This window comes from Homo sapiens, chromosome 6, assembly GCF_000001405.40.
Source record: "Homo sapiens chromosome 6, GRCh38.p14 Primary Assembly".
NCBI lineage: Eukaryota > Metazoa > Chordata > Mammalia > Primates > Hominidae > Homo > Homo sapiens.
The window spans coordinates 70253279-70280760 of record NC_000006.12 but is presented as its reverse complement, the minus strand read 5'-3'; the positions used below and the strand labels follow the sequence as shown (position 1 = coordinate 70280760).

The window sequence follows — 27482 nt, the reverse complement described above, 5'->3', positions numbered from 1 at the left end:
CGAGTAAGTGTGTGTTTTGTGGGGGGGGAGGGAGAGAGAGAAAGAGAGAGAGAGAACGCGCTGTGGCTCTAAACTTGGCCTCCTGCCAGCGCCTGATTGATCGTGGAACTGGCAGCTTTTGCAAAAGGACTTGTGAAGGTGAGGATACCTCTCTCTAGGAGGCGTTGGCATTTCCTCCTCCTAGAAAACAGCAGCGGGTACTGGCTTCCTGTCTCTAACCGTGACCTCACAGTGCACGCTGTGAACTCTCAGCCCCACTGGGGCCAGAGGGGGTACGGATGGCAATAGATTGTACTGGCTTCGGCTTACCTGCTGTGAGCCCACTGGCAGGCTCCTGGAAGCTAGCCTTCGCCCTTGCTCTTTCACCGGCACTCCCTGCATTAATTTAGAAAAAGATCCTGCAGGTAGGCAAAGGGCCAGAGCACTCCTAAATCCCAAGGAATGTGAAAAAGAAAGATGCACTTGAAGTGAGTGGGGATGTGCGGGGAATTTAGAAATTCAAAACTAGATTTTCGTCTTTCCATGGAGTTTTTCTGGCTGGCATTACTGGCAGAAATGAGCTGGCTAGGACTGTATGAAGATTGAGAACCAGCAGGCTTTCTCCAGTTTACCCACATCTCCATCAAATGCTGACTTATATGGTAAACCTAACACTAAATAATACTTCTTCAGAGTAAAATGACTTCAGGATTCTCAGCTTCTCCTCTTTCCATGCATTCTAACAATATGTAATAATGACCCACTACAGACCAGTCCTTGATTTTGTCCCTGGAATATGAAGTGAAGTAAGAAATGGCGTCTGTTCTTAGCATACCATGGTGCATCACTCAAGTTACTCTTCAAGTTACCACTTTATGTGTTTTCCAAAAACTAAAGACTTTTCTAAATGAAAGAAAGCACTCGAAAACCTATAATTATGATTTCCAAGAATTTTTGACTACAGTTTAAGACATATCCTTCATTTTGAAAGAAAAATAAATAACTGGATTTTTACTGTTATTAAGGTGTGCTTTCTTTGTCGGGATTCCCATAATGAATGTGTTTGTTTATACTGTGTCTATACTATTTAGCGTTTTTGTATGTGTATGTGTTTTTTTTTTTTTTTTTTTTTTGAGACGAAGTTTCGCTCTTGTTGCCCAGGCTGGAGTGCAATGGCACGATCTCGGCTCACTGCAACCTCTGCCTCCCGGGTTCAAGCGATTCTCCTGCCTCAGCCTCCAGCTTCCCGAGTAGCTGGGATTACAGGTGCCCTCCACCATGCCCTGCTAAGTTTTGTATTTTTAGTAGAGATGGGGTTTCACCCATAGTATTTTAGGAAATAGATCTTGGTTTACATTTCAAAGCCCCTAGTTTGAACTTTCTGTGTATGCAAATTAGCAGTACAGGAGGCACCTAAGGACTAATATTTAGATAGTAAAAACTGAATCTCAAACAAGCGTTTGTATTAATGTAATATGAACTGAAATAATATAACTTGTTGGCAATCAAACTCTTTGGAACATCTATAATTAATCGAAATTGTCATACCATAATAAAAAGAGTCTGACAAATTCAAGGCTACTGAACAAACTGGTAGCCTAATGTAGCTTGAATTTATTTCTATATTCCTTTGAAATTTCAATCAGCCTTTAGTTTTGGATGAAAAGAAAATTTCTGACTAAATTAAAAAAATTATTTTGGTAAATAAAATATTTATTTTGTATTTCAAAAATTTATTTTGGTATTTGAAGCGTAAATGGGTCATCTGAATCCTTGTCTTGCTATTAATTAAACTGCAATATAATGTCAGACAGAAAGCTGGACTTATCTGTCCCCCAATTTAATAGTGCTTTTGTAGCTTACTCAACAAATTCTTCTCTTTACCTTATACCATGGTGTCATAAAGACAATCCTTGGTTTTGCTTATAAAGTAATTTCCCCACTCTAACAGAAACTTTGGATAAACAAATGAAAGTGCTTTGAAATTTTTAGAAGTACAACATAGAAAGCAATTTCAAGTAAATTTTTCTTTGTCTATATTTGCAGACCCACAGTGCAGCATAAACCAGATTTCAAATATTAAAAGACATAAAAGAATAAGCTGCCTTAAATTATTGAACTTTGACCTCAAGGAAAAAATGATGAGCACATTTAGTCTGCTGAGACAGGAGAGGAAAGCAAAAGAGAAAGAGAGGAAAGGGGAGAAAAAAGGAAATCCCTGTATCTGCCAGTATTTTAGGCATTTTCTAGATCTTGGGGAAAAATCAACTATACTATTTGCATTTACACAGAACTTTTTCCTCAAGCACTGCCACAAACATTTCTTTTAACCAACAATAACCTGGAAAGTAGATTAGTCTAATATTACTTTCCATAAATAAGGAAACAATAATTATGAAGACAAGTGGTTTCCTCAGAGAGCTATTTAGTAGCTAAGATAACAAAATAGTCCAGATTTCTTGATTTTTAGACTCCCCAGGCAATTCTGCCTCATGCGAATACAAGTGACGATCTTAATAGATGAGAGAGAATAGCGAGAACAGAGAGAAAAAGTGATAGTGAATTTTTAGTACCTAAGTCACCGATCAAGAAGAATGATATGGATAATAACAGCCATTTGTAATAGATATTTTATAATTACTTATAAATATTGGTTTGTTTTATATTCCCTGACTTTTGAATTTAAGCCACATGAGGCATCTGGAACTGTAAAGTTTTCTTATTCCACTCTTTGACTGATTTGACATTAAAAAAATCTTTTATTCTAAATTGAGAATGGATATCTTTGAGAATAATGAAATGCAGTAACTGGGTCAGAATTTGCTGTTTGTTTGTCCTTGGCCATAGGGGAGCTAAGTAAGTAGGAGAGCTTCAACAGTCCTTTCTTGGTAGGTGAACCTGAGTGTGCTGGTAGGACCTTAAACCTCGAATCATTTCGTCTTCTGCTCTTTGGGTCATTACAAGGCTTATTTTTTGATAATGTTAAAAAATGGTTAATTGGATGATGGTTGAAAGAATCAGAAAGGAACCCTGTTCAGTGTTCATTATCCTATGTTGAATGGATTTTTGGCAGAAAATGTAAATGAGTCATAGCAGTCATGCTTGTAGAAGTAAGCCTTGAGTCCTACCAGCTGAGCTGTCAGAATACTGGAAGGAAATCTCCATTGAGGACTGGTTTTCTCTGCCAAACAGTAACATGAAGTTCAGAACACAGTCAGCTTCAATGTTATAATGTATAGAAGTTTGTCTGTATGAATATTCATATGAAGGCACTTTTTTCTGCTCTGGTAATGTTTTCTTCTTTTATTTCTTTGAAATAAGAATTAGGAGGTCTTACTGCAAACTGGATTTTGAAAATTATGTATGTATTATGTGTGTGGTCTGTATATTTCAACTCAAATCTGCCCTTTTTTCAGGTTAAGTTGATTTTTTTTTTTTGGCTTATGGACATGTAAAATTAGATAAGACAGAACTTGGTCCTAACCTTAGGACAACTGTGCTGTTCTCAGCAATTATATTAATAGAGATATTTTTATATGTACTATTTGTTGTGACATGCTCAGAGAGACCTTTAAAAACAGTATTTTATTCTTTCTTATAACACCCATATGAGATAAGCAGAAGAGGAATTAGAATAAAGTATAAGAATTATAGCTAAACTGTGATAATTTTTACAGGCAGAGGTTAGGTGCTATGTATTTTCTGAATGTATACAACTATTATCTGTGGCAGATGCTTTATAACTAGAATTGTGAGTTATTAAGAAATTATTCTAAAAGATCAGTGTAGGTGCAAATATTCAGGCATTGAAGAAATGTGATGAGGATAAGAAATACAGTGCTGTGGTTAATACCTAGATTTGGTTTGTTTGTTTGTAGGACCTTTTCTCAATGAGGAACAGCGTCTAGAACACTGTGCAGTTAGGGACCTTGCCCATGATTCCACAGCTGCTAAGTAGTAGGATCAGGATTTGAGCTGAATATAAAGATGTTGTGGAGGAACAAGTGTAATATCCTGCCACCTGGAAGGCCTCCTTAAACTTATTGTAGGCAGTAATCACATCTTGAGTGGTTAGATGCCAGGACAACATGTTAGGACTGTAATGGACATATGACTCTTGTCCTCATGGAGCTTACGGTTTTCTGCATAGTTATTTCATAACAGGTGTTACTGTAACATCTGACACCAGAATCCATTTTCAACTTAGTTCAAAGAACTTTCCAGTGATTGACATAATTTAGCATGTCTTATGGAGGATATTTTTAATATGAAGTAACCGAAAAACAGCTTCCAGGTTATCCAACTATTTACTTGGTTCTGCTTTATAGTTACTGTCCTCCAATCTTGTCAGTTATTCCAGTCACAGGTTGAAGAGTGTTAGTTGACTGTGTGTATGAAAATTGAACAGAATTGGTCTTGGAGGGTTTATGCATTAAGTGAGAATTAGAGGATCAGTTAGTTAAATATGCCCAGAGGTTTATAAAATTTACATGCCATATGTGCATCCAGAGAGTGCTCCTGGATGTATAGTTTGTTTGTGAAATGCCAAAGCAAACATTTCATTACCATAGGTGCTTAGCAACTAATCATGTTGAGGTTTGTTCCCAAATTACGGTGTTGTAATTAGACTAGGGCTATTGAAAATCAAAGGCAGTCTGTCAAAAGTTCTTTTGTGTGTGTTTAATATTTTTCTTCTTTGGTAAATTTCCAGTAATTAACATTTCAACTCATTTTTTTCTATTTGATTCACTCTGTGACATTGTTAGGAAAATTAATTAAGGTAGAGAAATGTAAAAATGGTGGCCACTGAACTAGTTTTCTATATGAATTATGTGAAGGAATTTTATGGATGTTTATTCAGACCATGACAGACTAAATATGAATTTTGGTGATCCATTTTTAAGTAGGGCTTTCATATTTTTCAAGAGATCCCTCTGTCAATATTGTTTGGGTCTTCTTCAAAATCTTGATAATAGAAAGGGTTTATAAGATACTTATATAGGCATGTATGTATATGTACACACATATATATCATATTTATCTTTAGGAAGGTATACTTTCAAGATTACATTGTAAATGACAGCATCTGAAAGTGTCAAAGAGCAAAGAAAAAAATTAAAAATAGAAATGTATCTTTACCAAATATGGAAATTCTTGTATATATGTGATATTATCATTCTTTAATACGTGTTTTATATTGAGGATGATGATAAAGTAAGTAGTAGTAGGGAAAATGAGAATGTTTAGAATATGTATTTAATAACTGCTTTAGTATTAAATATGATAATTATAAATGTGGTTTATAATAATAGGCTTAAATTTTACATACCGAGTGGCATACATGAACATATATACTTAATCACAGCTATTTTTACTAAGAAAAATAATGTAGAAACATGCATGCTTTCAAATGTTTCTACTTTAAGAATTAATATTCTTTGATAAGCAATTGTCATTGCTAGAAGATGGCTAGGGGGCTGTTAGTGGCTATAAGGCAATAATGAGATTGTTTGTGTTTAATTCTTATTGAGGAAATATTTTATTGACTTCCAAGACATTGTTGTCATGTAGAAAGAGATTATTGTCCTGTAGAGAGATACATAGTATTTTTGTTTCATAAATGAAGTAAAGGAGGTAAATAAACCTGAGTAAATGGCAGAACCAAGACCCACCAGTCTTAGCTATTACAACATTGTAATTGCTATGTTGCATTTTTTTCCAAAGCAGAGACAAAAAACACTGAATTATTGAACCCTGTGATAAACAATGCAGTTAGCAGGAAGTTAGGAGTATGATACAACTTATCAAGAAGAAATAATCACAACAGGCAGATCTTCTGTTAATCTTTACTTTTGAGTAAGACTATAGTAAGGTATTTCTTTATAAATATTTGCATCATACTTATGTAACCATCCTGTAGACAATTAATAAATAAAATGAAAGTTTTCTACTTAGTGGTTTGCCTAAGGATGTTATGATAGTTCTAACATCATTGTCTTGCTCTATTAGGGATTAACAGGACCTGATGGATCCCCTGGCTCCATTGGGTCAAAGGGACAAAAAGTAAGTTAGCCATCTGGCATTAATTGCTAGTACGAAAATGCTGAAGTATAATTTTATTGCAGTGTTTGCAAGCCAACTAACATTAAGTTATGAAGTATCTAAAATGCACTCGTTCAACTAAAATTGTGTTTAAAAACACCATGATGTGGAATACTATGCAGCCATAAAAAGGAACAAGATCATGTCCTTTGCAGGGACGTGGATGGAGCTGGAAGCCATTATTTTCAGCAAACTAACGCAGGAACAGAAAACCAAATACTGCATGTTCTCACTTATAAGTGGGAGCTGAATAAAAAGAACACATGGACACATGAAGGGGAACAACACACACAGGGGCCTGTCAGAAAATAGGGGGTGGGAGGAGGGAGAGCATCAGGAAGAATAGCTAGTGGATGCCAGGCTTAATAGCTGGGTGATGGGATGATCTGTGCAGCAAACTACCATGGAACATGTTTACCTATGTAACAAACCTGCACATCCTGCACATGTACCCCTGAACTTAAAATAAAAGTTGGAAATTTAAAAAAAAAAAACACCATAATGGGGTGTTTTAATGCTTTCAATATTTATGCAGTTTTCACATTTACATATTCATGATATGAAAGGTCAGTACAATGAAACTATTTTTATTTTTAGGGAGAACCTGGTGTGCCTGGATCGCGTGGATTTCCAGTAAGTAAATGTAAAGCTACAGAATTGAAAATTTCCTATCTTTAGGTAAAATTCTGCCATTGTGAAATCTTTTTATTTATTTATTTATTTATTTATTTATTTATTATTATACTTTAAGTTTTAGGGTACATGTGCAGTTTTCTGCATAATATACATGAGAAATAAGTTGATGACATCTGGTATGGTAAGCATTTCTACTATGAGTGGAAAAATTTTAGAGAAGTTTGAATGTACAGTAGAAAATATATATTCTATTTGCAGGTGGTATTTCCCAGCAGACAATTCCCTCTTTACCTGCCATGATAGAAAACACTTCTTGCATAACAACAGCATATCTAAGTATTCAATGTTTAGACCATGGTGTCACACCACATTCTTCACAACTGGTTTTATCTCTAATGAAATATCGACTAATCAGATATTATCACTTGCCTGATTCCTTGGCTAGTCTTTTTCTGCATTTGCACAATATGGCAGGTGTGTGTTATTTGTATATATGAGGACCAGGTTCTTAGGCTGCTTTTCCTATCTATTTTGCTCTTTGTTCCACTTTTACTCTTGTCATTAATCTGTATTTTTTCTTCTTTTTTCCTATTTGTGCTATTTTCTTTGCCATATTTCAGCATGTCAACTTTTCCATTATAAGCCTATTTTCAGAAGTGAACAGCTTGCTGGCCTTTCTCCCATATTTTTCAACTCAACTCTTAATCTCAACAATTTATAGAGATGCCTTTTTGTTTAGTGAAATTTGTTGAACATCTAGGTTTCTGACAATGAAAGAACTTATTGATTACTTTGGTGTTTTCAAACACAACACTTACTTCCTGAATTGACCTATGTATTAAAGTGTTCAAACTGGAGTCCTTTTTCCAGGAATGCCTTTTAAAATCCCACTGATTATTAAAACATACTGTCCATGTGAAGTTCTTGCTTGTTTTTCCTGTCCAACTAATTAGAAATAATAATATCATTATCAGTGCATTGATTCCATGGGATGCTTGGTATATTCATATTTTAGAAAAGCCAGTCTGGAGTGAAAAGCTATCATGAATATCATATCACAGACAGCTGTGAATAAAAACCATTCTAACCAATGTAGGAGAGAAAAGAATAATGAGAAATCCCAAGGGGAAAAAATTGAACTTGGAAATTAAAGAGAGAGAATAGAGATCTAGGCAGCTGATATTCAGTTTTAATTTCAACGAGCATATTATTAGGTTTTGTTATATGCTAGGCCCCGTGCTAGGAGTTGGGGCTAGGAAGATGAATAAGATGTGGTTCAATCCTTGATTATGTAAAGTTTGGTGTTGCTAACGAGATATAAATGTAAAGAAGAAAATAGAATGACTATCTTAAAAATCAAATATAACATATTAAATTAGCGTCCCATTGTAGGTTACTTCAGGAGTGACACCATTTTATTTTCAATATCTACTGGATTCAGTGTCTGAAAATATAGCCCAACCTTTCAAAAGGGAGGTGTGTTTCTGACCCTTTTTTGTCCCTGCCTCTCTGTGCTGAATGTTTGGGGAACTTCTAAACATAATTTATTATAGATTGTAAAACTAGAATGCTTTTAATGTAGGTTTCCTATAAAATGCTACAAATGAATAAAATCTGTAAACTCTCCAGTTGTGATGCACCTCTTTGTGAGTTATGGTAAGTTCTCCTGAGGGCAAGCATGGAAGGCTTCTTTACTTTGATTTCCTTAAAAAAAAAAAGTTTGGAAAAATCCCAGTTAGCATAGACAGCAAAGGAATGTTAGAGGAGCTGAAATAAGCTTCTGCTTCCTGTAGAAGCAGAGCCGTGTTTGCTTTTCTTTATTCAGTGCTTTCTTTAGAATGAGCATCATTTTTAGTAATAGAGTTTATGGTTTATTTTAGCTGAGTTATGTCTACATTCATATTTATACTAAGTATAAACCTCAAGCTATAACCATTTTTATTGTACTCTTTTAGGGCCGTGGTATTCCTGGACCCCCTGTAAGTATCACTTCATCATTTATTTTTATGCAGTCTATAAAAATGTCCTATTTCTCAAATCCCCACCTTATTCTCCTACTAACGGTCTACTCAGTGGTGTTTACAGTGTTCTACCTGCAAGATCTTAGGTGGCTACTAAGGATAACACCCTTATTCTGCTAAACAAAATATTTATTAATTTAGGAAATTTCTGCTGTATCTTAAGTAATTAAAGTTTGGTCAAATGAGTTATTGTGTCATTGGAAACCAAAGCTAATACAGAAATGTAAATCTAATATTTATCATATTTGATATAATGTATGATAGATTGTAAAAATATTCATAAATGACCATTTGCTTTGATTTGTTGACTTCAGGGTCCTCCTGGGACAGCAGGACTCCCTGGAGAGCTTGGCCGTGTAGGACCTGTTGTGAGTACCACAGTGCACTTTGATAGACGTTTGCTGATTTAATAGAAGATGTTATTTGGGAAAGCAAATTACCCTAACTGTACATTTCCACTTGCAAACCAAAACATGGCAGATGAATTTCATTCCAGTTTATAATATTGATGTGAACCAGGAATAATAATAATTTTTGCAGAGTGATTTTAATTTTTTCCTAAATTTTTCAGCTAAACTTTTCTTCCCAACTTCCAGATTGTCAAGTAAGAGAGTGTCGTCCTCATTTTACAGACTCTCAGCCAGGACTGGAGTCTAGTGGCTTTTGTATTAGGCTCCCTGCATGAAATAAAAGTGAATAGCCTAAAATTATTACCATGTGTATTTATGTTAGGATCATTAAATTATAATTCAGCCAACAAAATTTAACTTTTAACATTAAAGAGCTGGGCTTCATAAAAAATGTCTCATATAAAATGCTTCATATTGATATTAAGTAAACATTTCAAAAACGTTGACATAGTGATGTTATGTGAAGGCGCGTAATTGTAAACTCACTGTGGGAAGGAGCCATGTATCATATACCTTGTTTGTTCCTCTACATGTGCTTACTGTTTGCAAATTTATTTAGTGAACAAGTGAATGAATATGAAATGATTGTAAAGTTAAAATAATTGGGAGGTGCTTCCGACTCTTTATGGCAGAACATCAAGAAGGAAAATGTGCCAAGAGTAAACATTGGATGTTAAGAGTAATTGGAACCCATTTTCATCTGAACGGTTTACTTCGATGTAGCTTTCTTTGATTTTCTGACTCATTGCAAGAGGTGCAGTGACAGACCAAGTGATAGATTGTGGGTGAACAGCACTTGCAAGAGTCAGGCACTGCAGAGATTAACCTTCCATTCCACAGTTTCAGACTGAGTGCAAACCTTCTTTTGCACTGGTTAGCAGAATGGCACTAGCAGTATAGGTTGCTCTAGGTCCTCTGTAAATCAACCAGAAAAATAAGTAGTGTTTCCAATTTGCTTTCAGAGTAGATAAAATGTTTGTCTGATAGAGAAGAATTGGCTTTGCTTTTTCCCCTAGCTTCTCTCTGACTTGTTTTATTACCTCGGTGAGACTGGAATGCCTTTATTACTCTCATTTTGTAGAACTAATTGGATTACGGGCCACCCATCGATTTTGGTGGCAGGTCTATGCATGGCTGAGCTCGGTGGGGGTTTCCAGTAATACCATTCTCTTATGCCTCACTGGTTTTATGTACTGTGTTTTGACACATGTATAACCACTGTGTCGCAATTTTCAAATAACTTAGGGTGACCCTGGGAGAAGAGGACCACCTGGCCCCCCTGGCCCCCCAGGACCCAGAGTAAGTTATTTGCAGCTTGAATTTCTGTTTGTGTCTGAGAGTCAGGGTTGAAAAAAATCTAAGAATCCAAAATGGAAGTTCCTATTAATTGAGTCATTGTCCCAAATTTCCAAAACGGCTATCAATTTTTCCATGCACTCAAGGGCATGGTTCTGTTTAGGGCAAGAAGTAGAAGAATCACAATAATTTAAAAGGTGGTTTTTATAGGGTATATCTTACTCATTACTTTTGAAGTCTTTTGACAGTTGTGATGTCTCAAATGCTCAAAACTTAGATATATAAATGAAGCATTTTCAAATGAACTAGTTTTTACAAAGGTTTTCATAGTAAGAAAAATTTAAAGAATATGAGTTTAAATGGAAGGTAATTCATATTTTTATTTGTAATTCAGAGTTCCCCACATTTTCTATTTTGCCTCTTATTTCGTTTCCCTTCAATGTCTTCCCAAAATAATCTACTGCAATTCATGGCTCTCCAAAGAGAACATGCCCATGAGTCAGGATTTTAGAATATTAGCATATTATCTGGTTTCTTATATTTTATTAAACAAATATATTTTATACTTTTGCCTGATGAGCTTTCTAGTATTAGTATGTTTGAATTCATTATTTAATTGTATTCTGAACCTTAATATTTTGTTTACTTTAGGGAACAATTGGCTTTCATGATGGAGATCCATTGGTAAGATGCTTTCCTTTGAACAAAATATAGTTTTAATTCAAAGACCATATAGCCTGCAGATGAGTTTTCTTTAAAAGATTTCCCTGGAATATTCTATGTGTCTGTGTTTTCCTTTCACTCAAATGGCAGAGCAGTCTGTAACGCTAGTGGACTAGTGGCTTGCATCTACTCAGACTAATAATTTTTCATTATAGATGTATCTTTGTTCTTTTATGATCTTTTTACTTTATGACTAAGACATGCTTTTCACTAGAGCATCCAGGTTTTAAAGAGATAGAGTTCAAATAACTTCCTCTAGGATTTGTTTTACTCACAGATTAACAGTCCAATGATGGTGGTAATGTACACTAAATGCAATGTTGGCCCATTTGATTGGAGACACGAACCTCAGGATGGGGCTAGTCTAGTGGAATGGGAAGGGGAAATGAATCCTGTCATGGTACAATAGGTTATCTGTAAACATATTTTCCTTAATAAATTAGATTTGAAATAAATTTTGCAAAATATTAACATTTATTAAATCTGGATGGTACATTCATGGGGGAGGGTATTATATTCTCTACACTTTTCTGTTAGCTAGAAATATTTCTGGCTTTAAATGTGAAATAATAATAATAAAAAGGAAAGGGGTGTTTAGAATTATTCAATGAATATTATTGCAATGGAGTTCTGTAACTGGAATCCCTTAAAAAAGATACTGTCACAAAGCGGGAGTCCTAGTTTATGCACTCTGTCTGTCTTTCTTTCTCTTTGTTCCCTCTCTCCCTGGCAGTGTCCCAATGCCTGTCCACCAGGTCGCTCAGGATATCCAGGCCTACCAGGCATGAGGGTAAGAGAATAACTTCCAGTATTTTAAGAGTATTATCCACAGATAAAATGGAGCCTTTACTTTAAGCATTAGCCTTCCTGGTGCAGAGACCCCACTTGGATGATCAGGCAAGTAGTGCTTATTCAGTCCTAGCAATTCCAGTTGCCCTTGACATGTATTCCTGTATTCCTACCAAGACATGGAGGTTTAATCATAGGATGGCTTTCTAGTTCAGGGAAGAAATACCAATAAAATACATTGGATTGAGAGACTTTAGAACACCAAAGTAAGATTCAGAAGTTTGCTTCCTGGCTGAGTGTAGTGGTTCATGCCTGTAATCCTAGAACTTTGGGAGGCCAAGGTGGGAGGATTGCTTAAACCCAGGAGTTTGAGACCAACCTGGACAACAGAGGGAGACCCCTGTCTCTACAAGAAATAAAAAATTAGCTAGGCATGGTGGCATGCACTTGTAGTCCTGGCTACTCGGGAGGCTGAGGTGGGAGGATCACTTGAGCTCGAGAAGTCAAGGTTGCAATGAGCTATGATTGTGCCACTGCAGTCCAGCCTGGGTGGTGGAGGGAGACCTTGTCTCAAAAAAAAAAAGTGCTTCCTATTAAGGAAGATAGTGAGTGGTGGGGGCAGTTGGAGGGGGTTGTGTACATAATGTATTTGAAAACTTTCAGTTAAAAAAATTTTGAAAAACTGTGCAAAATAGTCAGGAAAAGAGACTTTCCCAAAGTATTTTTCTCTGTCTGCCACCGTAATTACTTGAAAGTTTTCCATACAAACAAAAAATAAATACCAAATTCTGGGGATAAATAGCTTTCTCTCTCTCTAGTCTCTCAGTCTAAAGTGATTTTGGGACATTCCAGACCAATGGAGCTCTGCTGTGATCTGAAAGGCCCGAAGGCACTGATTTTCCATTAGAGTTTTTCTAAGGGTAGTTTTGGTGGGTTCCCTCAACTGCAGAAGATTCAGCCTGGACTGGTGTCCTATTTTTCAAAAAGATTTCTTTGAGGGGTGAAAGTTCCGACAGTTTTCATTTTGGAACGCTTGTCTCACAGTTTTGTCTCCTGTTACAAAGCACACACGTGCTTAGGACAAGTGGCCTGACAAGAAAAGATAGGGATATTTTCATCCAATGCAGCTTTCACCCACTGCCCTTTATTGCTTTCCCTTTGCACTTAAAAACTGTACACAGTAGGCCGGGCGCGGTGGCTCACGCCTGTAATCCCAGCACTTTGGGAGGCCGAGGTGGGTGGATCACCTGACGTTGGGAGTTCGAGACCAGCCTGACTAACATGGAGAAACGCTGTCTCTACTAAAAATACAAAATTAGCCGGGCATAGTGGCACACGCCTGTAATCCCAGCTACTCGGGAAGCTGAGAGAAGAGAATTGCTTGAACCCAGGAGGTGGAGGTTGCGGTGAGCAGAGGTCGCGCCATTGCACTCCAGCCTGAGCAACAAGAGCGAAGCTCCATCTCAAAAAAAAAAAACAAAAAAACCAAACAAACAACAACAAAAAATGTACAGAGAAAGAGGCAGAAAGTTGTGCATCCGAGAAAGTCCACTTACACCAGGCCTTCCTCCACCATCAGGAAGGAGGTGGGAATGGAGGAGGCCGAAGGGTTTTCAGAGCAGCCTTCAGAGGGCAGGGGATAGCCAGCTGAGCTTGGTCAAGGCTGTCACTTCTGAAAGGTTAAGTTACCGGAACTAGAGAAGACTTAATGCTCCTAACCCGTGTGAGGAAGTTGGAGAAATAGGGAATAGGGATCTAGGAAATAGCAGGCAAGTATCAATGAATCACATTGCTGAACTAGGTAATGAAGTGTATTATTCTAGAGCAGTGTTTTTCTATTAAGTAAAACTGATATTAATTATATATGGCAGTCATGGTGCTGTTAAGGTCATTTAAGGCATTAATTTTCTTTGTGACATAACTCATTTCTTAGTAATACATTGGCACTGATTTAGGGAAGCAGGATCACTTTATGAGCCTTCTGATCACTTTCTGTACCAAACTCAAGACAATTACTTATTTTGCATTTGTTAGGGTCATAAAGGGGCTAAAGGAGAAATTGGTGAACCAGGAAGACAAGGACACAAGGTAAGGAAAATGGGTATTTAGTGGATAAATTGTGATTAGGAGTTATTGGTCACTTTCATTATAAGAAATTAGGAATTATAGGAAATAATGAACCTCGATATTTTACCATTCTTTTTTAAATAATGATTGATAAGTTCTAAGCAGATGCATCAATATTTGACTAAATATCATATTCTGAAGTTGTTCATTTACAATAAAACACTTACAAATAAGGCACCAGACATTTTCATTTTTTTCTGTCACTACCTTTTCTTTTCTTTTCAAATCAATCACACTCAGCTTTTTTCCTTGATGCTATGATAGTCCAACATTATTCAGACGGTTGTTCCACTTCACCAGACAAAATTTTATGACATTTGTAAAATTTTATGACAAGTGTTGCTGAGACTAGCAAACAGAGAAGTTGGTAATTGGCTTATAGCTTCTCATCTCAAGTTCTGAAACAATTTATCTATTTATTTCTGACCTCATTTCAATATAACCTAGATTCTGAGTAAGCTGGAGGTTAGTAATAACTTACGTTATTATCTGCATAGAAATAGAATCCACAGCACAATTTGCATTGCAGCTGGCATGCCCTGCAGAAAAACTAAGGCTGGGATTTAAAGCAAGGTAACATATTTGCCCTCTTTTCATCCACTAGTGTAAGAGTATCTAAGAATTTGACTTCCTGCATAGTAGGTTTTCTCTTGGTAAATTTGATAATATTTTACAAAGTTAAGTTGTTCTTATTAATGCAGGTCCTCTTGACTTTGTTGACTATGTCCTTCTACCCCTTTATTGGGTAGTGATAGAAGGTTAGTCTATTCTTTGGAAGTCAAGAACTCAAGAGGCAATTTATCAGTGTCTTCAGGCATTAATACCCTTGAACTTCTTAGCTAAAAATCAGTTTGTTAAATAGCCTCAAGCAATCAGGATAAATAGACCAATTTTCTGTAACCTATTACAGTTTGGACATTTATTTTAAAAGTCTCTTATTACATAGGCTGTGATAGTTAAGGCATTTTATTTATCTGAAATATAACAGCTGGGTTCCTAATGTCAAATTGGAGAAAATAGGAAAAAAACCCAAGTGCTTTGGAAATTTCTCTGTATGATCATTCTTCCATTGAATCTTAAAAATTGTCATTAAAAGTTTTGACAAATATAAAGTACCTGCTATGTGCTAGGGTTATTCTGAGCACTGGGGGCACAGAAGCCAAAAAAAAAAAAAAAAGTACAAGCACAGGGGACTAAATTAAATATGTCATAGCCATATAATAATAGAGTAGTAGTTAACTACAAAAAACAAGTGTGTACGAATATTAAATTACATCAAAAGATATTCATGAGGTATTCTATGCAGTAAAGCAGATGTAGTAGACTTCTGTTATTTTTGATGTTTGTATCCCTTTCTCCTTCTTTTGATGATGCTTTCCTTTGGGGAATTTTCACTCCCCCATCCCACAGGATTTGGAGATGGAGCTGTTAATCCAGATGCCTCTCCACTTTTCCCATGAAAGTAGTCTTTTTAATATTTAAACAAGTTAATTATCTAGATTCTCAAATTTGGTTTGATGTTCAGTGGAAAACCTACAATTTTTTTTGGCATGTCAAGTAATTGGCCAAAATTTACTTTGAAGGTTGTTGAAAATTTCTTTGATTTATTTTACATTTTAGTGTCACTTAAAAGTGTAAGTGATGTCTTTGAAAATCGATAGGATGGCCATAGCTCATTGCAGAATGAACCTTGAAAGGCTGAGCAGATAGACTGAACTGAAACTGAAAACAGAATGGTAAGAGCTTGGAGGCCTGAGGTTTGGATTCAAATTCACAAATTTGCCTTGAATTTTACCCAAATTAGTTAATGAAGATCTTTAAAACTGTTTATGAATATAGGAATTAATAGTAAAATTTCAATAATCAAAATGTTGTGGTATTTGTAACATCATACAGCAGGTCAATACTTATGCAAAAATCATAGTGAAATGATAATAAATTGCTACTCCTAAACTTCATAATTATGGATTAGTTGTTTGGTTTTCACCTGTAGGTGAAACAATTCAAATATATTACTCCAAAGTTTATGGAGAATCTATGGAAAATACCCTGTACCTTGTTATGGAAAAATTTCAGTGGACATATCAATCACTGCTGTTTTGTATCTAGTTTTATATTTTTGTAGGGAAATAGAAGTAGAATTTAATTAGGCACACATGATGATTATCTGTGCCAAGAACTAGCTAATTCTCTGGCTTTCCTATTGGGACTGCCTCTTCCCACTGTCAGTCATAGATTCTAGTGAAATATAATCTGAATATAATTATGAGGCTAAAACCAATATGTATGACTCTCATAATTTGTTTAAAAAATCAAGATAAATGATTCAATATTGTCAAGGTTTTAACTCTTGCCATATTAATTTATTAATTTAATGCAGTCCTAGTACAAAGCAAGTAGACTCTGTGAAGATTTGTCCAATGATTCTAAAGTTTATTTGGAAGAGTAAACATTTAGGAAATCTAAAAAATAAGAGTAACTATAAATGAAAAATAAAGATAAGGGAATTCTCCTTACCTGAGATTAAAATGTATTATAGAATTTCAGTAATTAACATGTTGTGGCATTGGCAACATCATATAGTAGATCGGTAGAGCAGAATCAAAGTTTAGAGCCAGTAACAATTTAGTATATGTTAAGGATGAATTTTGAAAACTGTGTGGAGAGAATCTATTATTGGAAGAGTGGCCCGTTACTAAGAAAAAAGAAAAAAGATGTATACGTTTTGCTTTACATCCAAACAAATTACGGGTAATTACAGATTTCTATGTAAGAAGAAATAGAGCAAAAATATAAATAAATGTATATTTTTAGAGTGGAAAAGGCTTTTCTATGAGTGACATCAGGAGGTATAACCCATGAAAGAAATGGCTGATTTACATTAAAATATTGTATATGGTGCAAAAATTATAATAAGAAAAGCTAAAATAAAAATCACGATGAAAAATATTGTAGCTTACAAAAAAGTTTTCATAGTATAATTACATTTTTCTAATAATAAATCCCCCCCATTTGACACACACTTGGAACATAAATGAGTAACTTTACTCTCTCTATCTCTCTTTATTTTTCTTGATATCTTTGTCTCTCTTCCTCTTTCCCCCACTTTAGAAAAACTTTGAAAGAATAACATCTAAATGTTACTGGTATTTTATAGTTAAATGGTGGTATTTTGGTGACTTTTTATATGTAGGCTTCTCTGTATTTTCTGAATGTTCTACAATTAATTTGGACTACCCATATAAATAATTTAAGAAAGTAGAATAATTCAGGAGTCACCAAGTTAACTTAAAACATAATGAGTTAGACCAAGCCTATTTCTATGTTCGTTTGCTAGAATAACATTTGGTGTGCTTTTCTTTTTTCTTTTTTTTCTTTAGGGTGAAGAAGGTGACCAGGGAGAACTCGGAGAAGTTGGAGCTCAAGGACCTCCAGTAAAGTATTTTTTAAAAAATATTTAACTAGGATATGTAAATATTCTTTTTTTTCATGACTGTTGGAATATTTTCTATTTAGCAGTTGGATGAATAGCATTACATGAACTTGGTGTCCTCTATTTTCCACCACGCCAGCACTGGGGGATAACTACTTCTTCAAAATAGGAGAGGGTCTTCATTATATATTCTAGCACTTTTTTAACAGAAAAATTCTACCTATAATTTACATACATTCATTTACCAGATTTCAGGGCCAGGCAATTGAAAAGCAAATACTAAGCACAAAAGGATGATACTCATCTTTTATGTTCTATCGTATTATCACATGATATAATGAGAAAATTTTGTGTGTTCTAAATATGCAGTAGGTATATCATTTATTGGATTAATGTAGCTTATTCCAGTATGCAATCATTATAATTAATTAAAACATTCTTAATTGCTCATATCATGTCTTTTAATAAAAAATTGGTCCCTCGTGCTTTAGCAGATTTCTGCAATAATATTCACAGTAAGGTGATTTGGGGCATCATCAAACTTCAATTTCAAATGTTGTTAAATCAGAATTTGCCTTATTTTGTATTACATTAAAATGGAGTTGTTACACTTTTTTTCCTGTTAAAATGAGTAATGACAATTTTGGAAATAATAATTGAAGAATATTAGTTAAACATTGCAGCTAGCCAGGTTATAGACTCTATAGAAGACGAGCTCAGGTACTATTCTTAGAAACTGATGAATTGAAGACAAACACAGGAACACCATTCACCTGCTCTGCTCTTCTCCACAGGACTGGCTGTTTAAAAAGGGTTCAGCGAGCTGTGCAGATTAATGTGTAAGGGAATTTAAAGTGTAAGGGAAATTAAGTTAAAGGAAGTAAGTCAGAGGATCTGGAAGAAATGGTCTCTGCTTTCAAGCCACATGAGAACTTTCAGGGAATCTGTGGTGTCTAGGGTGTTTATTTCAGAAGTTTGCCCTCCCCTGAGTGTTTGCCATATGAGACACTAGGAGCTGGACTCTTTCGCAGGTAGGAGATAAGGATACATGGTGTAAGAGACATATGCTTTTTTTTTTTGATCTGATGAAAATTTGGTAGGGATTTAAAGTTTTTTAAAAAAATTTTATAAAAGCCATTCCCAAAGATTCTCAAAACAGGGTTTTGCAAACAACATTCTAAAACAGTATTTTCAGGGATTAAGGATCTATGTTGGGTACTGCGTGGCTCAAGTGGTCCATTGGGGGATATCCGTTAGTGCTTGATTACCTCCTGCTATTTGGGAATAGGTATGCCAAATTTAAAAAGCATGTACTTTTTAAATGTACATGCACAAATATAAAGTAATGCACAACTTAAACAAATATGCTTCTTGGAATATTTAGAAAAAGCTCTGTTCTTCAAAGTAGACACCTCAAGAGAAAATATGTGGTATTCTCGTGTCATTGCTATTGACCCAAATATTTCTTTTTGTAGAAATAACTTTAGAGTCAGTAAATGAGCTACACAAGAAAGAGCAGCTTTCATCTGATATGGCCACATCTCACTCGATATTCTAAATGGATATCCTAAACTGGATCATCCTGCATATTTGAATTGGAGGTCATTCCTGACTGATCTACATAGAATTTGTGACTGGTCTGAATGAAGAGTTGGTCATGGACTTGCCCCATTTTCTCTAAGTGAGAAGAAGAGGGAAATGCTGGCCTAGAGCTCCTTTATCTTAAGCCAATGGGGACAGTTAGCAGGTTGTCCAGAAGTAGCTACCCCCACTTTCCTAATGGAGCATCCACCCTCCTCTGCTTCCAAGGGTATTCCCAAGCTCACTCCTTCCAGGATCCATTTCTGGATCCCTCCTAGTATGGGGGCCAGAGAGTCCAGAATGGTAACATTTCAGTATTGAAAGAGATCCTAGAAATCACACCCCGCCCCTCATTTTTAGGATTATCCACTCTTATGACTAAGATGGGTTCCTATTGCCCCGAGTTGGAATTCAGAATGCCTTTCATCATAAGAATGGTATAATGAATAGTGACTACAAGGGATTGATGGAGGCTCCAGCTCCTTTCTAGGTTATAGGCTTTCGTGGGCTAGCCTGGGAACCTACTGCTTTTGATGGTGTCCATTGGTGAGAAAAAAATTATTTCAAGGTTTAAAATCATGTTACATGTAACCAGGTTACATGCCATGAAGGAAGTGGGAATGATAGTGTAAGTTCTACATACAAGTTAAAAGGTAAGTCAAACATATTATCACAATTTCTCTTATGCTGGTATTTACTTTTTTTGTCATAAGTGATTTTGTCAACTCCAGTTTTGTGTAAGACTTCAGAATTTTATAAAAAGGTTTACCATCAGAAGAATTCTCCTTGGACTTTCTAAACTAGAAATGTTTGTCTATATATATATAGTTACTATTTCTTGGTATTACCTTTGGTTATGATAATATCCATTGTCTAGATCAGCTTTTGTGATGAGATTTTTAAAAATCTTTGCTTCAACTAAAATAATTCACTTCTCTTTTTCACATTTCCAGGGAGCCCAGGGTTTGCGAGGCATCACCGGCATAGTTGGGGACAAAGGGGAAAAAGTAAGATGGTGATGACAATAATATAATACCAAAATGTGTTAAATATTTAAAATTTTGGCCGTTTAAACATAACTTTTTATCTTCAACAACTTTTTTTTTTTTTTTTTTGAGATGGAGTTTCACTCTTGTTGCCCAGGCTGGAGTGCAATGGCGCGATCTTGGCTCACTGCAACCTCTGCCTCCTGGGTTCAAGCGATTCTCCTGTCTCAGCATCACGAGTAGAGCAGCTGGGATTACAGGCGCCTGCCACCACGCCCGGCTAATTTTTGTATTTTTTAGTAGAGACGGGGTTTCACCATGTTGGCCAGGCAGGTCCTGAACTCCGGACCTCAGGTAATCCACCTGGCTCGGCCTCCCAAAGTACTGGGATTACAGGTGTGAGCCACCGCGCCCAGCCTAACAACATGATATTTTATGATGCTTTGTAGATGTGTGATTAGGTTTTCACAATTCTGTTGTAAGCACAGATAATAGGAATGAGCAGTATGCATGATATTTGCCATGTCTTAATTTATTTTAAATTATATTGAGTAAATCAGAGTAAACAAGGTTGTTACATTTTAACTCATTGTCATGATCAGTGGTTAGCTTTGATAACACTGGCACAGTGCCTGGAGCGCTTCTGGTCAGGCAAGGCAAAGACAGGGAGGATGGAAAAGGAGAGGTAAGCCAAGGCAGGACATCCCCAAAGACACTGGAGCCTCCAGTGACCCACCTGCAAGCTGATCCATGAGCCCTGCCCTTAGCATGGGTTATACACTTATGGCTGGAGGACACTAGCCTGCCCTTAGCCCAGTCTCAGAAACCAGATTCCCCCAGCACTTCCATACCAAGGCACTCCGCAGGCTGCTGGGGAGATTCCAAGGGGAATAAGACCTTTATCAAGTCAGTTATTTATTGGGCAAGACAAATAAGTAGTTAGTTAACTACAATGCAAGCAAAAGAGACATGAATCTGAGAGCCAGTGGTATGATGGAGTGGAGCGGAAGCAGGGCTAATCTTGATAGGGAAACTGAGAGGGCCCATGAAGGAGGTGGCATTAGAAGGATGTGGAGCCTGGAAGGATGAGGTGTTGCCGTTGGTGGAGGATGAAGGACAGGCTATGTTTAGCTGAGTGATTATCATCACAGCATCATCATGATGCGTTCAGAAGTGTTTTCCTTGGCGTGTGTGTAGGGTGTGTAGGGGTGTGTTTAGCCTCTCTATCAGATTTTAAGAAAATGGTTACCACTTCTTGGATGTTAGGAAAGTTAATTTATAGGCTCCAGAAAATACAAAAGGCATCTTTGCCCACTGTCACTTCTGACCCTGACCTCATTCTCTTTATAACTTCTATGGTTAATTGGTGTCAGTTCCCCCAGCAGCACAGAGCCTTTTATTAACAGTTAATTAACAATACGTTGTACGTTGTACATGCTCAATAAATGAAATTAAATTTTTCTTTTTAAAAAAGAGATGCACAGCTTGGTGAATGAAGGATGAAGCTTATTTATCATTTTTTTGTCAATTTAATGTTTTTTTTCCAGGCTGTTTGTCACTTCTAGGTATTTTCATTCTGCTTGCTTTCCTTATCCATCTTTTCAATCAATATTTCTTTTCTGAAAACTTTGTATTTGTTAAACATATTAGATGCATTCATATTTCTATATTTATGTCACCTTAAGTAACATTCACTGTGTGTCTTTTCTTTTATCAGACAATAGATCCCATTTATTTTCAAGTTGCTGATACCTTCATTTTTTTCTGGATTTAAATCATCCCCTAGAATATGTGACCCCTCACTTTGAAACCAATTACTGTTCTTGATATGGTCTTCATTTGAGATATTTTTCCATTTGGTATTTTTCAAAACTTCTCATTTCCTCTAAGTTCTGTCAAATTGCTTTAAAAAAGAAAGAAAAAAAAGCTCTTCTTGTGAACTCAGACCCATGGAGTGGTTACCTAGTAACAGCAGTTTGGGTCTAAGCTCATGCTGAACAGCAATAAGAGAGAGAGAGAGAGTGCATCAAAGCCACGTCTATAATGCAAAGGCTGGGTTCTGCTCTTGTAATGCAAGGTGAATGATAAATTCAAGGTCTTTTTCAGGTCTTCAAAATCTCTTCTTCTCTGGTGAGTGTAGAATGCTTTTTGCTCTGTCCTACTTTTTAGGGATCAAAGAATTTCAGGGCTCTCTGGTACCTCTGCTTCAGTTGAGTTCCTTCTTTGATTCTACCTATGTCTGAACCTTCTATCATGGATTTTCTAATTTTTAATTCTTACTACACATGCCGTCCACCTGGTTTTCTTGATTTGACACTTGATTCAAATTTGACATTTGATTTCTTGGCCTGACATCTATCCAGTACTCTTGATTGTTTTTCATTTATTTTATCATCTTCTCATCTCAACTTGGTTCATTAGAAGGCTGCCTCATTATGCCTTTTTATTCACTTAGTAGATAAGAAAAATAAAGATAGGGGTTATATTTTGTCAGATAGCATATGTAGAGAGCACTAAAAACACTTTTTAAGATCTTAATATCACATTTTGATTCTCATGATGAAAATAAAGAGGTGATAGTGTACAATATGTTAGCCACATCAGAGATTATTTCAAGATAATTAGATTTATAAAGCTCTGAGTCATTCTTATGTCATCACTTGGTAGACTGGATCTGCTCTTGAGAAAATAGGCCGGTTACTTTATATAAATTGAACCTAATATCTGTCCAGGATGGAAGAGGGTATGCTCAGGTCCTTCCAGTAATTCATTCTTCTGAATCATGTGGCTGGACTTCTTATTCCAGATCTTGATGGGAGATCCAGAGTCCCAGAAATCCCTCTCACAGTTGTGGCAGCAACAGAGTATAGCAGCTGTTCTTAGAGTGGCTCCATGGCCTTCATCGTTAATAAATTTTTTGTGTGTGTTTTTGAGACAGGGTCTCACACTGTCGCCCATGCTGGAGTGCAGTGGTGCTCTCTCCACTCAACGCAATCTCCTCCTCTCGGGCCCAAGTGATTCTCTTGCTCTAGCCTCCTGAGTAGCTGGGATTACAGGCATGTGCCAACAGACCCGGCTAATTTTTGTATTTTTGTAGAGACTGGGTTTCTCCATGTTGGCCAGGCTGTCTGGAACTCCTGGTCTCATGTGATCCCCCCACCTGGCGGTTAATTAATTTCTATAGAAATGTTAAGAACCCTGGAGAGTGGCTACCAAACTTCTTCTAATAGATTTACCAATCTATTAATAAGCACCTGTGTTTTTAGCTCATGTCAGCAACTGAGGATGGGTGCAGTGTTAACTTAAAACATACAGACTGGGCTGGGTGCAGTGGCTCACGCCTGTAATCTCAGCACTTTGGGAGGCCAAGGTGGGCAGATCATGAGGTCAAGAGATTGGGACCATCCTGGCCAACATGGTGAAATCCCATCTCTACTAAAAATACAAAAATTAGCTGGGCATGACGGCGTGCGCCTGTAGTCCCAGCTACTCAGGAGGCTGAAGCAGGAGAATTGCTTGAACCCAGGGGGCGGAGGTTGCAGTGAGCCAAGATGGCGCCACTGCACTCCAGCCTGGGCAACAAGAGCGAAACCCTGTCTACAAAAAAAAAAAAAAAAAAAAAAAAAAAATTACAGAGTGGCATCAAAGATTGTGTTTAAGTACAATTGGTATGCTGAGTAGATGTAAACAAGTTTACCTGAGGTGCCTGAGTAATTACTCCTCAGGGATCACTGTGTGTATTACAGGCACAAAACCTCCTTTTCATCTGGCTATTAAATTTCTTTAGAAAGATGGATGCTTCCTTTAACATACATGACTGATCTCAGTTTTTTTCCATTGTCTTGTTTTTTTGCAGGGTGCTCGGGGCTTAGATGGTGAACCTGGGCCTCAGGGTCTTCCTGGTGCACCTGTAAGTGATTTTCCTTCCACAAAACCCAATGATAGATTTTTTTTTTTTTGCTATGTATGCATGTGTGTGCAGTATTGTTTATGTGTGAATAATTAAAGTGGAAAAGTGGACAATTTATATATATATGTTTAAATTTAAATTTAATTAAGACAGGTATCTTTCTCGGGTACATAGAAATGTTCTTCTGACTTGACATGATTTTTTTCTTCATAGATTAAGCCAAATTATTAAGTATTTATGTTTGCGTGTTTTCCTTTTCTTTGGTTATTAGGACGCCTTGAGTCTCAGTAACTATCTTGTTTCTACTTTCTTGCCCATTTGATATTTTTTGTTTTCTATGGTTTCTGACTCCATTATTCCACATTTTGATTGCCATATGTCCATGTGTCATTATTTTAGGTTTCCTCAAGCCTGTTTTTGGGAGGGAAATAGACAAAAAAGCCATCCATTGATAATTGAATATGCCACATAAAAAGTAGAAAAGATATAAGAAAGATAGAATTTCCAACTGTCAAAGTCCTGTGTTCCAATGGGAAAGACAGAAAGTAACTCAATGATAAACTATACAAGATCAAATGCTAGAGCACAGGATAGATGTAATCCATGTAAGAGGACCTGAGGGGGAGGTTGGTTTGAAAGCCTACGGGCAGGAAAGACAGCAAAGTACAGGGGTGGCACTGTTGGTGGTGATGGGGTTATGTGTGCTGTCATAGGGGCTGTCACTGCCTGGAGTGGAAAGTTTGGTTGAAAAGATGAGATTGGAAGGATAAGGTAGAGATACATAATGGAGAATGTTTAATGCCAACCTGAGTCATTTGAACAGATCCAGTAGCAATAGGGAGCCATTTGAGGTTTTAGAGTTAAGCAACTCAACAAAAGCTATATTTTAGGAAGACACAGCCTCTTATCTATTACCACCTGTAGCGTATATCACGTATATCAACATTAGCTAGATCACTTCGACAGAAATTACTAATATTGACTGGGGGATTAAATAATATGAGGGAAAGATTGGCAACTAATCCAAACCTCAAACCTCTATAACAGTCAATGAAGTTAGCTGATATGTACATGCAGTTACTGATGTCGAAATCCACTGCATGGATCCATTATATGTTACACACAAGAACACAGAGGCATAGTGCATTTAAGGGGAAAACAAAAGACCATCAAGTGTCAGTTATCTCTATGGCAATATCCATTTTTAAGACAATTCCGTTTTTATAAAAAGACTTCTTCATCTAGGCTTCCTTGATAGAGCAAAGCCATTGTGGTGGAAGACTAATAGTTTGGTGACGTGGATGATACTTTCTAATTTTTAAAAGTTGATTAATAAGTAACTTTTTCTTGTATTAACAAAATTTTATTTTCATACAGGGTGATCAAGGACAGCGAGGACCTCCAGGAGAAGCAGGTCCCAAAGGAGATAGAGTGAGTTTAAATTCAGTCACTCCAAGCCTCCTGCTTTTCAGTGTCATCTGCTGATTATGCTGATCTCTTTGACAAGTCTAAGTATTATGTTAACTGAACATGTCTTGTCTATTCTTTCTCTTCCTCCCTGCAGGGGGCTGAAGGTGCTAGAGGAATTCCTGGTCTCCCTGGGCCCAAAGGAGACACGGTATGTCCTGAGCTGTAGTCATCAAGCACATTTTTCAGTGATCATTGACTTGCAATGAAACTTTAGAAAATAATGAAGGGAAAAAGAATGTGACTGTGTGTAAGAGACAGTATGTTTCTTTGTGTGTGTTTAGGGTTTGCCAGGTGTGGATGGCCGTGATGGGATCCCTGGAATGCCTGGAACAAAGGTAGGCTGTGTAATTTACTCCAAGAGTGAGTGGGGCTGTCTCTGCCCTGGCCAACTGAGTGTGGCATTTCCATTACTAAATCACCAAAAGATTTATTTAGCTAGCTTTGGCTTTTTCCCTTCCTTTAATTTTTGAATCAAGTGTCAAATATGAAATACTTACTAGAATAGTATAATTATTTGCTTGGTTTCAGGAACTCAGTAAAATTGCCCTGTTGATGAAAGTAAGTTGAGAGAGACTGTGCATTTTGGTTGAATTATGTCCTATTTCCCACCCTACTCCCCCACCCTAAATTAAGTCACTTTATAAAAGTGCATGTAAAGTCAGCTGTTGGGACAATCCTTTTACTTAAAACGTCTGTGCTCCTCCGTTTCTTAAAAGAAATACAGCAGCTCATACAGGTTCAATCATGTGATAAAAGCTTTTTTTGCAGGGTGAACCAGGAAAACCTGGGCCTCCTGGTGATGCAGGATTGCAGGGGTTACCAGTAAGTATTTGATTCTTTACATGTTAATTGGTTTATATACATGTTTTAAAGATATACATTTTGGGGAGAGACATGCTACCTAATCTGATAAGTTCTGGGGAAGATATGATGTTTTACTTTTACATTTTTACAATTTACATTTGTATTTTATATTTTATACTTTTTCTCTGAATAGCTATTTGTGTAATAACTGTAAATAATAGGCTTTAATTTTATGCTTTGGATTCCTTTTCTCTCTTTAGTTTACTCAGTCTTTTTTTACATATTTTTTAACTAACCCTAAGCTGTAGGCCAGTGTGATATATTTCATTCCACTTTAAACCGGTTCTAAAGCTCTTGTTAGTAGGATTAAGCAACAAGAGTGCTGAGAGTATACTCAGGTGACCCCTTAGATTATGTACTATTTTTAATCATTCAAATTGGTGTTTCCCTGCATTAATGTGTCTGGAAGTTCGTGTGGATTGTACCACGTGTATTCTTGGCTCTTTTGCAGGCAAATCTTTCTAATTAATAAAGAATACTTGGTAATATCAAAGCCTGGCCCCCAATCTTTTAAATAATCAGATAATATTAGCACTCCCAATAATATCAAACCTGAGTCAGATCCAGCATCCTCCTACCATTTCCTTTTTCTCCTATAAAGCTCAGCATTTCTGAGAGGTCTTCATTTTATTACTCTGTACATGAAACCATGTCACATCCCTGTAGCCTCTGTCCTGCCTAGTAGAGCTCCTCTTGACCTGAAAGTGGTACTGGATTCTAATTTGGGAAGTTTGTCCTTGAAAAGTAACTTTAGTTTAAAGACAAGATTTGCTTTAAGGGTACTTAGCTTTAACAAGCCAGATATAGTAAAGTCATGCCCTCTAAACTGTGGGTAATTCTATAAATGACTGTGCAGAATTTGGGAACTAGGAAGCATCTTCCTTACATTAAAGCTTTGAGGTTATCATGATTCCCTCAGCCTCCCTGCAGTGTGCAGTGGGCTTGGCATCTCATGGATTCTCAGAGGAGGTGATTAAACTAGGATTGTGTATGTATTCTTTTAGGGTGTACCTGGAATTCCTGGTGCAAAGGGTGTTGCTGGTGAAAAGGTAAAATATTTTAAAATTTAAGTTAATATCTTTCTTAATTTCTTTATTATTTACTAACGTATTTGTAATTTTTAATATTTTCAGCATGTGTTTTATTTTATATTTG

At 36.5% G+C, this 27482-nt stretch overlaps 1 protein-coding gene across 11 annotated transcripts in view, besides 2 other annotated features; it reads left to right on the top strand.

Moving 5' to 3' along the window:
• The window catches only part of COL9A1 (collagen type IX alpha 1 chain), an 88024-nt gene that overhangs the window by 22324 nt on the left and 38218 nt on the right, over window positions 1-27482 (top strand). For 4 of the 11 annotated variants that reach the window (XM_011535429.4, XM_017010246.3, XM_047418179.1 and 1 more), the window contains 17 exons: window positions 5989-6042; window positions 6679-6714; window positions 8673-8696; window positions 9053-9106; window positions 10394-10447; window positions 11096-11128; window positions 11901-11957; window positions 13991-14044; window positions 17464-17517; window positions 20051-20104; window positions 23940-23993; window positions 25371-25424; window positions 25558-25611; window positions 25745-25798; window positions 25992-26021; window positions 26232-26285; window positions 27332-27376. In XM_011535429.4, the coding sequence (XP_011533731.1) occupies window positions 5989-6042; window positions 6679-6714; window positions 8673-8696; window positions 9053-9106; window positions 10394-10447; window positions 11096-11128; window positions 11901-11957; window positions 13991-14044; window positions 17464-17517; window positions 20051-20104; window positions 23940-23993; window positions 25371-25424; window positions 25558-25611; window positions 25745-25798; window positions 25992-26021; window positions 26232-26285; window positions 27332-27376 (819 nt within the window). Of the gene's footprint in view, window positions 1-55; window positions 405-748; window positions 1000-1140; window positions 1246-5988; window positions 6043-6678; window positions 6715-8672; window positions 8697-9052; window positions 9107-10393; window positions 10448-11095; window positions 11129-11900; window positions 11958-13990; window positions 14045-17463; window positions 17518-20050; window positions 20105-23939; window positions 23994-25370; window positions 25425-25557; window positions 25612-25744; window positions 25799-25991; window positions 26022-26231; window positions 26286-27331; window positions 27377-27482 lie in introns of those variants that run through there. The other 7 variants (XM_047418180.1, NM_001377290.1, NM_078485.4 and 4 more) reach the window with 4 other exon arrangements.
• Window positions 10328-10437: an enhancer, noted in NCBI's record as "active region_24730". NCBI's record gives its function as "activates an Ori minimal core promoter by ATAC-STARR-seq in GM12878 lymphoblastoid cells {active_cell/tissue: GM12878}" and the evidence as "EXISTENCE:reporter gene assay evidence [ECO:0000049][PMID:35858748]".
• Window positions 12989-13189: a silencer, noted in NCBI's record as "peak5887 fragment used in MPRA reporter construct". NCBI's record gives its function as "represses an SCP1 promoter by STARR-seq MPRAs in K562 erythroleukemia cells {active_cell/tissue: K562}" and the evidence as "EXISTENCE:reporter gene assay evidence [ECO:0000049][PMID:32103011]".